This window comes from Homo sapiens, chromosome 5 (assembly GCF_000001405.40).
Source record: "Homo sapiens chromosome 5, GRCh38.p14 Primary Assembly".
In the NCBI taxonomy this organism is placed as follows: Eukaryota; Metazoa; Chordata; class Mammalia; order Primates; family Hominidae; genus Homo; species Homo sapiens.
In genome coordinates, this window is record NC_000005.10 from 32572872 (window position 1) to 32584657 (window position 11786).

The window sequence follows — 11786 nt, forward strand, 5'->3', positions numbered from 1 at the left end:
AAGGAGGCTATTGTGATATGATGCCATGGGCTTTCCACCTCTGAGAGAATTCACAAAGGAGGCTGGAAAGAAGCGCTCCAGTTTCTACATTCTCACGTGCAATCACCTTCTTTCTCTCCTTGTTGGCAGTCACTGCAGCTCAGCTTGCTGAAAGAGAAGAAACTGAGCCAGTGTCTAAGAGGGTGCCTCAAAAGTTCCTCGACTGTATTAATCTTTTGATTTTAGAACTTTTATAAATAGCACTACTTTGAACACACGCAAAGAAGGGCAAGTCAAAGTGAAAATAGCCCAGTTCTTCTTCTTAGCTAAGAATGCCTCCTTTCTATACCTATGAGATTGGACAGGATGCATCACTGGGGGACTTTGCTTGATTCTGTTCAGAGTCGCAGCTGTAAAAGCAGGTGCATTTTTTTTTTTTGCCATTTGACATTCTTAAAGAAAAGTCATCCTGGAAAACAACCCAATTTAGTATTTGCATTACTCTGCATGGTTGATGGTTTCAAAAGATTAATGTTTATTTTGGGAACGGTTCATCGTTTTTATCTTTGAAACAGTCAACTTCTCTTTTACACCTGCTGTGGCTACGAGAGCACTGTGCTGGCTTGGGTCCTTCATTAAAAGTGTGAGCCGCTGTCAAGAAGGAGAAAGAAATACTGTGCACTTCACTGAAATATATTACCTTTTTTTTTTCTTTCTTTTTTCTTTTTTTTTTTTTGAGACAGGGTCTCACTCTGTTGCCCAGGCTGGCCAGTGGAGCAATTACAGCTCACTGCAGGCCTTGACCTCCTTGGCTCAAGTCATCCTCCCACCTCAGCCTCCCGAGTAGTTGGGACTACAAGCACATGCCACCATGGCCGGCTAATTTTTCTATTTTTTGTAGAGATGGGGGTTTCACTTTGTTGCTCAGGCTGGTCTCAAACTCCTGGGCTCAAGTGATCCACTCTCCTCTGCCTCCCAAAGTGCTGGGATTACAGGCATGAGCCACCATTCCCAGCCCTATTTCCATTATTTTAACTTCTAATGCCTGAAAATGAATAGATACAAGAAGAAACATTTAAATGGAGATGTAACTAATCCAATGGCAAAACATTAAAAAAAAATTAAAATAAAACTTACTGACCAAAGAAAGAAAGAAAAGTAGAAATTAAAATGTTTCACTATTGGGTTCAATGTACATTATTCAGGTGACAGGTACACTAAAAGCTCAGACTTCACCACTATACAATTCATCTGTGTAGCCAAAAACCACTGAACCCTTACAGCTATTGAATTTTTTTTTTTTTTGAGACGGAGACTTGCTCTGTTGCCTAGGCTGGAGTGTAGTAGTGCGATCTCAACTCACTGCAACCTCTGCCTCCCGGATTCAAGCAATTCTCCTGCCTCAGCCTCCCAAGTAGCTGGGATTACAGGCACACACCACCATGCCCGGCTAATTTTTATATTTTTTTAGTGGAGATGGGGTTTCACTATGTTGGGCAGGCTGGTCTGGAACTCCTGATCTTGTGATCCACCCACCTCGGCCTCCCAAAGTGCTGGGATTACAGGCATGAGCCACTGCGCCTGTCCAAAAAGTTTTTTAAAAAGGTCTGGGGTGGGCCAGCCAACTGGTTACACAGTTGTCTGGGATCCCATGGAATATTTAACCTGACCTCTGATGGGAACAGGAAACTGAGACCCAGGGAGGTAAAATGACTTGCCCTTGCCCTGTTATGGTCAATATCACTGTAGGTCTCTGGACCCAGCTCTTTAGCAACCTTTCCATGCCTCTATGCAGCTCCCCATGTATCAGTTCTCTGAGAGAATGCAGCTTGGGCATCTGTAACTCTTAGGTTGAATTCAGGCAGTTTACCACTTCTCCTTGGCTCATAATGTCTAGGACAGCCTTGAATAGGTTCAGAAATCATGTGGCAACAAAATCCCCCCTTGATATCATGGTATATGGGTTATGTTTGGTATTTGCAAAGCAAACAACTGGGATCAAATTCCAGCACTGCTACTTAGCCGCTGTGTGACACTGGTATCTTTGTGTCCTAAGACTGTAATAAATTGTCACAAGCTTCGTAGTTTAAATCAACAGAAATTTGGCCAGGCATGGTGGCTCATGCCTGTAATTCCAGCACTTTGGGAGGCTGAGGTAGGTGGATCACTTGAGGTCAGGAGTTTGAGACCAGCCTGGCCAACATGGTAAAACCCTGTCTCTACTAAAAATGCAAAAATTAGCCAAGTGTGGTGGCAGACGCCTGTAATCCCAGCTACTTGTGAGGCTGACAGGAGAACTGACTGCTTGAACCTAGGAGGCAGAGATTGCAGTGAGGCGAGATCATGCCACTGAACTCCAGCCTGGGCGACTAGAACAAGATTCTGTCTCAAAAAATCAATCAATCAATCAACAGAAATTTATTATCTTAAAGTTCTGGAGGGTAGAAGTCGAAAATCAAGGCAACGGGAGGGCCATGCTCCTCCTGAAAGCTTTAGGGAAGAGTCCTCCCTTGCCTCTGCCTAGTTTCTGGTGCCTGCCCGCAATCCTTGGTGTTCCTCGGCTTGTAAGATGCATCCAAGTGTCTTTCTGCTTTCTCTGGTAAAGACACAGGTCACTGTATTTGAAGCCCATCCTAATTTAGTATGACTTTGTCATAATGTGATTACATCTGCAAAGACCCTATTTTCAAATGTAGTCACAATCACAGGTACTGGGGTTAGGACTTGGGTAGATTTTTTGAGGGGGGTTACAATTCAACCAACTAACTCAGGTAACTCCCTTCACCAATCTGAGTACAGTTTCTTCCTTTCTATAATGGAATAAAACACCTCTCTCCCAGGCTTAATGTGAATACAATGAGATGACATGCATAAGTGCCCGGAATATAGGAGGTGCTCTGAAGATGCTGCCAACTCCCCCTTGGATTTCTTTGTTCCTAAAGTCAAGCTCAGTGATCGCACATAGTAGATAAGTTTGGCAGTTGATTGATTTTCTAAATCAGAAGTGTAAATGCCCAGTGGACTTTGCACCAAAGGACCCAGAGATCTGGCTATGCATTCTCTAAGTGTCTTTTCACAAGGCAAGACTCTCCCAGTCCCTCTTGGAGAATCACTTTTGAGACACATTTACTAGTTCTACCTGCTTTCTCCTTAAATCACCATGGATAGCAGCATCCTTTCTGCACATCTCGGGTTCTGCTTGGATTTAGCATTAACTCCTTGATAACATGTTATGAGGACAAAATCTCTGCTTTCTGTGTGGAATTGACACAAAGATATTTACACTATTGAATTAAGGCTTCTAATTTGGCTTTATAGGTGAGCTCCTAGTCAGAATACTGAAGAATTAATAAAAATTACATAAATGACCTAAAGAAATGTGAATTCATATAGATTGTTTAAAATGGGCAAGTTTTATTAGAAAACTATCCTATTTAACAGCATCCCTGGTAAATAAGAAAACAAACAAACAAAAATGGCTGGGCGCAGTGGCTCACGCCTGTAATCCCAGCACTTTGGGAGGCCAAGGCGGGCAGATCACCTGAGGTCAGGAGTTCGAGACCAGCCTGGCCAACATGGTGAAACCCCATCTCTACTAAAAATACAAAAAAAAAAAAAAAATTAGCCAGGCGTGGTGGCAGGTGCCTGTAATCCCAGGTACTTGGGAGGCTGAGGCAGGAGAATCACTTGAACTGGGGAGGCAGAGGTTGCAGTGAGCCAAGATCACACTGCTGCATGCACTCCAGCATGGGCGACAGAGAAAGACTCAGACTAAAAAAGAAAAACAAAACAAAACAAAAAACCACCAACCAACCAACCAAACCAAAGCAAACAAAACAAAAAATAGAAGACAGAAAAAAGAAAACTATCCTCCAGAGTAACAGTTCGAATTCATAGAGGAAATATCTCATTTGAAAAAAAAGCTCCAGGTCTTTAGAGAAAATAAATTACTAACCTGATAACATATTTCAGCAGAATCTAATGTGGTAGATGTCTCTAGAAGTTTCTTTAAAGGAAAATTTAGAGCAAGGGCTAAAACAAGAAAGAGCAGAAAACTAAACCAGCAGGGCATAAGAAAGCAGAATTGTTGAGGAATTTGCTTAACAATTATAACAGTTGAAGTTCTTTTAGCGAATAAATTAAAAACTCGTTGGAGAGAAATTATTTACCGATTTCTTTACCTTGCTACTTTCTTCTGTGTGTAGATCCCAGTTTTTCTTGTTGGATGCTATGTCCCGGATGGACTTAGTCAGATATACTTCTGCAAGAGTTTCCATTTTCAGTATTGTCCTATTCAGGGATATAAAGTCAACTATGTCCTAGGTTCTGCCATGATAGAATACACTATTTAACTATTGAAGTCTAGGGCTTGATAATCTAGCAGAAGTCACCGAGGAACAAGAATGTCCATATAAGGGGTTACTAAAAAGCAGACCTTTTAACAAACTGAGATACCAGAATCAATACACCTGTCTTGGTTTGTTAATCATAGTTAAAATTTTGAAACCAAAAGCAACAAGCTGATCTTTCAAACAAGAAATACATTAACTGAAGACACAATGATGTGAAAAGACCACTGTGAAGTACCAGTGGTATGAAAAACTCAGGATGTGATTGAGTAGCATTGTAATCTTGACCCCGGGCTGCTAGTTTCTCTGACAGTTCAGAGGTGAAGAGTCTGCATAACTATGCTAAACTGTAGTACTCTGAAGGTATTGCCAAATTAAATAATTTGGGTTTCTCAGTGCAGGTATCACTCTCTCCTGTGATCTCTGGCTAAGCAGGGCTGTTGGCAGATCAAGTTCTTGTTTCAGTCGAGACCATGATGGTATCTGATTGTCTATTCAGTCACTATACGTAACCCATTGGCTAATACATCTCATGCTATGCTTCCTGCAAGGGGTGTGATGGTCAACCAGCCAGCCTAGTGCTGGGCCCCAGCTAAGAGGTAGATACTTGGATTGGATTTTTCAAATTCTTTTTATTGACTATCACAAGCATAGCAACATAGTATGCATGTTAAGTATTGAGCACTCCAGAAAATTTAACACTTAAATAGACTGTCTTTGTAACAGGTAACACATAACATGTGAAACCAGAACACATAAATGAACTATCCTCCATAGTAGTCTTCTTGGGACATTACATATTTGTTCAAACAGTGATCCCACATTTGCACTCAACATTTTTTCTTTTTTGTATTTGTTACCAGGGCCAATTAGTAATCCATAAAAGGATATCATTTTTATAAATTTCTTAATTACTCATATTACTGATCATGGAACTTAGAAACCTTTTTGCTCTTTACAAATAGAAATTAACTGCAAAAGCTAAAGATTTCTTGTTGCTGGGAGCCTGTAAAAGACTATGCCTCAAGCTCTGACAGCCATTCTCAAAGAGGAATTCTAAAAGTTAACTTTGACCAATGTCAGAGTCATTACAATGTTTTTGCAGCCTCCAAGAAGACGACTTTTGAAGGAGAAAACACTCATTTGAATGTAAGTTACAGCATATTTACTAGAAAGTAATTACACTATTTTATAGCACATTAAATAAGTCAGGTATAGCTAGCAGGAGGAGTTGTGCTATTCACCTACTAAAGACGGTGTACATATATTTGCTATTACAAAATGCGTTCTTCTATAAAAGGTGACACTGCATTTCTAATGAAAGTTGGATCTAAGAATAGCTCCAGTACCAAGTTCAGAAAAGTCACCCTAGGGGAGAAATGCTTAGCAGTTTGTATTTAAATAACTTCCTTAAATATATTGCTGTTACTCATTGCATATGACTTTACACGTAATTCATGTAATTCATATTTATTTATAATTACTTGAGTGAGAAGGAGTATTAAACTTTTGGAATTACATATTCTTAGCTTTTTTAATGTTGTACTATGAAAGTTCATTTTTGACGGTAGATAAAATACAAGGGTCTGTAGCAACTTGTTTGGTGGAAGAAAATTTTAGCGCATGGGTCATAGCGCTGCTATGGGGAGCAAGTTCAGTCCTTCCTTTTCTCCTCTCATCCATATTAAATTGCCCACTTTGGTCTCCAGATGACCAGCATTACCACTATAACTGCTGACAGAGGAATTTCACTCTGTTTGTTTTTGACTGCCATTGTTGGCTTTCTGATCTGGGATTATGTCTCATTGAAGCCAAGCCTACATAACACCAGGTGAACACTGTTGCTGGTTTCTTCCTCTCTGTCTCTAGGCCTAACACTCCAGGGTTTAGCAGGGCAGGAAAGGAAGAAGGAAAATTATTTTTCCCAGCTTCTTCAAAGCCTGTGAAGCAAGGATTTTTTTTTTTTTAAGACAGAGTCTTGCTCTGTCAGCCAGGCTGGAGTGCAGTGGTGTGATCTCAGCTCACAGCAACTTCACCCTCTCTCAGCTCACAGCAACTTCACCCTCTGAGGTTCAGGGGATTCTCCTGCCTCAGCCTCCCAGATAGCTGGGATTACAGGCATGTGCCACCACACCCAGCTAATTTTTGTATTTTTTAGTAGAGATGGGGTTTTGCCGTGTTGGCCAGGCTGGTCTTGAACTCCTGGCCTCAAGTGATCCACCTGCCTCAGCCTCCCAAAGTGCTGGGATTACAGGTGTGAGCCACCGAGCCCCACCCACAAGGCTTTTTATGCCTTAACTTTTTCTCACATCACTGCATCTGATGGATATAACTCACACCCTACAAAGAGTAGGTGCTCCCTGTGTCTCCTCTTGGGGAGAGTGTATATTGCCCCGTCTTAGTCTGCTGTAATAGAAATAACATAGACTGGGTGGCTTAAACAACACTTATTTTATTCAATTGTGGAGGCTGAGAAGTCCAAGATCAAGGTGCCTGCATATCTGGTGAGGGCCCACTTTCTGGTTTGCAGATGACTGCCTTCTTGTTGTATCTTTACATGGCAGAGAACAGAGACAGAATAATTAAGCTCTCTCTTGTCTCTTCTCATAACAGCATGAATCTATTTATGAGGGTTCCACCCTTATGACTAAGTATGCCCCAAAGTCCCCACCTATAATACCATCCCACTGGGATTAAGGGTTCAACATATGAATCTGGGGGAAAACACAAGCATTCAATCCATAACAACCCTCTTACCTTGTACTGTCTCCCTTCCCAGTTCTTCAGACTCACTAAACTGGAGGATGCCCAGGTTTTTGTTTTATTTGTTTTCTCTTTTGCATGTATGATCCACATGGCCCCATCCTAGGTGTTCCTAAAACCTCTAGACATCCAGAGCCACCATATCTTTTAATATCCAAATTGAATGGTTGGTGCTACCATTCCATGTGCCGTGGGACCTCCAGAATTCTTAAGTTTTCCCAAAATAACCTGGAAGGAGTTATGTTCTCCTAGTCATTCACGCTGTGATCTGCTTTCCTGCTTTAGCCTGGAGGTTAAACCAGAGGCGGCTGACCTCCCTAGGTGCCCACCACATCCCTGGCACATAAGCCTGTTCCTCTCCCTTTCTTTCTTGTTTCCTCTTCTTTGTATATTACTGGTATGTCTCTTGTGCTACAAACTCAGGCTCTCAGGAAATGTGACTTTCTTCATTTTCTTATGATTGTGTTTAATGATCACCATTTCACCTAGTGGTAAAAGCTTAATTGTGGCCAATTTCAGGTCAAACTCATAATTTCTCCCTTTCCCCCTTTCTCTCCTAAATTCTGGACAGAGGTGGGGTAGGATTACATGGTGTCAGAGCACTAAGGGTAGTGGTAGAGTCTGGCCCATTTTCCCCATCTGTCCATGACAGCCGCATTAGTCTGTTCTCGCATTGCTATAAAGATTTACCTGAGACTGGGCAACTTATAAAGAAAAGAGGTTTAATTAGTTCATGGTTCCACAGGCTGTGCAGGAAGCATGGCTGGAGAGGCCTCAGGAAACTTACAATCATGGTTGAAGGAGAAGGGGAAGCAGGCACATCCTACGTTGCTGGAGCAGGAGGAAGAGAGACAAGGGGGAGGAGCTACACACTGTTTTTTTTTTTCGTTTGTTTTGTTTTTTAGATGGAGTCTCGCTCTGTCGCCAGGCTGGAGTGCAGTGGCATGATCTCGGCTCACTGCAACCTCCGACTCCCTGGTTCAAGTGATTCTCCTGCCTCAGCCTCCCAAGTAGCTGGGATTACAGGCATGTGCCACCATTCCCAGCTAATTTTTGTAGTTTTAGTAGAGACAGGGTTTCACCATGTTGGCAAGAATGGTCTCGATCTCCTGACCTCGTGATCCACCCTCCTTAGCCTCCCAAAGTGTTGGGATTACAGGCATGAGCCACTGTGCCCGGCCGGTGCTACACACTTCTAAACAACCAGATCTCGTGAGAATTCACTCACTATTACGAGAACAGCAAGAGGGAGATCTGCCCCCAGGATCCAATCACTTCCCACCAGCCCCCTCCTCCAACATTGGGGATTACAACTCAACATGAGATTTGGGCAGGGACACAGATGGAGACCGTATCATTGGCCTTTGCTTAACAGTTCATCTTGTCTGATTCTTGATCCTTCTCACTTCTTCACACTGGTATTTGTTGAGATGTCCTTTGTTACAGCACTCTATGCAAGTTGAGGGTGGTGAGATTTCCTCTTCCTCACTGCAAGTCCTCCCCAGGTCTGCTGGCTGTCACTGACACATCTGTGCCACTCTTGGCCAAAGAGAAAGACATTCCCCTGAATGCTGCAGTACCCTGGGGCATCTCTGAACTCGGTGAGGAAGCCTGAGGTCGGCCATCCTGACACACCACACAGATATCTCTACCCCAACTCTGTGGTGGAGGGAGGGGCGCTTGGGTTGCAGAGGAGCTCGGAGAGCTCGGCTGCCTGGAAAGCAAGGCACCAGTTTGCTTTGCTCTCTCAGATCCCTAAGCCCTCTGGGAATTTGATGCTTCCTTCCTTCCCCAGGGCTGGTGTGGGGACAGACAGCAGAACTACTTCTCTACTCCTTAGACACTGAAGAGGGGCCTCATCTCCTTTCTCTTCTGACTCCTCCCTTTCACAGTTGCAATAATCTCTACAGGCGAGTGGGGTGGGCTAAAAGGAACTATTTTTGTTTGTTTGTTTTTGAGACAGGGTCTCAAAAACACCCAGGCTGTCACCCAGGCTGGAATGAATGCAGTGGCGCACTCATGGCTCACTGCAGCCTCGACCTCTCAGGCTCAAGCAATCCTCCTGCCTCAGCCTCCTGAGTAGCTGAGACTACAGGAACTTACCACTACACCCAGCTGATTTTTTTCTTTTTCTTTTTCTTTTTCTTTTTTTTTTTTTGAGATGGAGTCTGTCTCTGTCACCAGGCTGGAGTGCGGTGGCATGATCTTGACTCACTGCAACCTCTGCCTCCTGGGTTCAAGCGATTCTCCTGCCTCAGCCTCCTGAGTAGCTGGGACTACAGGCACGCACCATCACGCCCAGCTAATTTTTGTATTTTTAGTAGAGACGGGGTTTCACCATGTTGGCCAGGATGGTCTCGATCTCCTGACCTCGTGATCCACCCACCTGGACCTCCCAAAGTGCTGGGATTACAGGCGTGAGCCGCTGTGCCTGGCCCATTTTTTTGTATTTTTTGTAGAGACAGGGTCTCACTATGTTGTCCAGGCTGGTCTGCAACTCCTGGGCTCCAGTGATCCACCCACCTCGGCCTCCCAAATTGCTGGGATTACAGGCAGGATCCACAGCACCCAGCCAGAAAAAAACTTTAATAGCACATTACCTTAAATCTGTAATTTATGCCTGGAATCCTAATAGTTTAAAAAAGTCAAAAGCCAAGAATCTGGTCTGTGTGTTCTGGTCTAACATCCTTCTTCTAGTCAAATGCTGTAGCTGAGAAAACGGGGGATGGGGAAAGAGTGAAGGTCAGAAAGCAGGAAGTGCTAGTAACAAAAGCCACATTGGGTAAGATTTCAAAATAATATCCTGATACTTGAATAAGCCTTTTTCGGAAGCTTTGAAAGAAGTGAGTAACGGAGGGTGTCGACAGCATAAGGCCTTGGAGGGAACCGCATTAACAGTCCCGTGCCATACTCCAGGCCTCCAGGAACTTCTTCCTGGCAGTCTCCTCCTCAAGCTCTGTCCCTTTCATAGTTTGTGAGCTATTTCCCTTCTCAGCCCTACTTCCCAGTCTACCTCCCTTTCTGGGACACCTACAGATTCTCCAAATTCAGCACATTCCTTTTTGTGCCACCCTCTTCTTCCAGACCAAGGCTTGGAGTGGAAAGTGGGAGTTCTTTCACTTTTAAAGATGCCCTCTAGGAATTTGCCTATAAAAGGAGCTATTCCCCACCCCACAATGTACAAATGCATGTGAATTACACCTCCTTCCCATTCTATTATTTGAAAGCAACTGCTGTCTTTTTTTTTTTTTTTTTGAGACGGAGTTTCGCTCTTGTTGCCTAGGCTGGAGTGCAATGGGTGTGATCTAGGCTCAGTGCAGCCTCAGCTCACTGCAACCTCTGCCTCCTGGGTTCAAGCGATTCTCCTTGCCTCAGTCTCCCGAGTAGCTGACATTACAGGTGCCCGCTACCACGCCCGGCTAATTTTTTGTATTTTTAGTAGAGACGGGGTTTCATCAGGTTTGCAGGCTGGTCTCAAACCCCTAACCTCAGGTGATCCACCCGCCTCAGCCTCCCAAAATGCTGGGATTACAGGCATAAGCCACCACGCCTGGCCCCTATTTTGTTTAAAATAAAAAAGTTTCCTTCCTCTTTCATCTATGTAAAAAATTATTTTTGTTTATTTTCTTGAGTTATGTTTACCTTTTAAAAATGGGCAACGCTTAGGATCAAGGATTTTCGATTAGTTTTACAAAGTACCACACCCAGGAAAATTGAGCCAACAAATTTGCATGCAAAGTTTCAGGTCTCCCTACTTCTAAAAATGCATACCTCCTTAACAGCTCTCCACCTCCGACGCTTAGAGAACCGAAACCCAAACCTACAGCAGGCACACTGCCCAGGTTCCCTCAGTGACACAGAAACTGAATGAAAACTTGTTAAAGCAGGAAGGGTTGCAGATGGAGGGGATACCATATTAGTTTAAGTGTACGTGGTTTACCTTGAATATTAAGCATTTCTTTAGCTAGGTGTGGAGCTGCGCAGTGTCCCATGACAATGCATAATGTCAGTGTTTCTTTTCTTTTTTTTTTTGAGACGGAGTTTCACTCTGTCATCCAGGCTGGAGTGCAGTAGTACAATTTCAGCTCACTGCAACCTCCACTTCCCAGGTTCATATGATTCTCCTGTCTTACCCTCCTGAGTAGCTGGGCACACGCCACCACGCCCGCCTAATTTTTGTGTTTTTAGTAGAGACGGGGTTTCACCATATTTGTCAGGCTGGTCTCGAACTCCTGACCTCAGGCGATCCACCCGCCTCGGCCTCCCAAAGTGCTCGGATTACAGGGGTGAGCCACCGCGCCTGATGTCAGTGTTTATTTTCATGGCTTCTTTTATTTCATTATGATGGAGAGTTTCACAACAAACTAAGGGATTAGTTTGTATTTTTGTCAGCATTTAATCCTTTAAAAGTCAGGTAATTCTAGAAAGGGACGTGTGGGGGATGCTTTCACGTTTAGTGTTCAGACTTTGATTCCATCCGCTGTGTTCTTTGCGTCTCAACCCCATTACACATTCCGCTCCCAGCTTTAATGTTTGCAGGGAATATATAACTCTCTTCTCCTATAAGGGTGGGATGGGTGGGAACCACAGGTCTAACTGCTCCATATGTAGATCCAAACACTCCTCCCTTTCTGCAACCCACTGCCCTTCCTTAGCCTCTGTGGCATCTCCGATGTGCAATTCTGAGCTTCGACA

General features: G+C 43.7%; 4 annotated features.

Moving 5' to 3' along the window:
* Nucleotides 290-379: an enhancer, noted in NCBI's record as "active region_22450". NCBI's record gives its function as "activates an Ori minimal core promoter by ATAC-STARR-seq in GM12878 lymphoblastoid cells {active_cell/tissue: GM12878}" and the evidence as "EXISTENCE:reporter gene assay evidence [ECO:0000049][PMID:35858748]".
* Nucleotides 670-729: an enhancer, noted in NCBI's record as "active region_22451". NCBI's record gives its function as "activates an Ori minimal core promoter by ATAC-STARR-seq in GM12878 lymphoblastoid cells {active_cell/tissue: GM12878}" and the evidence as "EXISTENCE:reporter gene assay evidence [ECO:0000049][PMID:35858748]".
* Nucleotides 3655-3825: a silencer, noted in NCBI's record as "fragment chr5:32576632-32576802 (GRCh37/hg19 assembly coordinates)". NCBI's record gives its function as "represses an EF-1alpha promoter that drives an FKBP-Casp9 reporter gene in an ReSE screen in K562 erythroleukemia cells {active_cell/tissue: K562}" and the evidence as "EXISTENCE:reporter gene assay evidence [ECO:0000049][PMID:32094911]".
* Nucleotides 9097-9156: an enhancer, noted in NCBI's record as "active region_22452". NCBI's record gives its function as "activates an Ori minimal core promoter by ATAC-STARR-seq in GM12878 lymphoblastoid cells {active_cell/tissue: GM12878}" and the evidence as "EXISTENCE:reporter gene assay evidence [ECO:0000049][PMID:35858748]".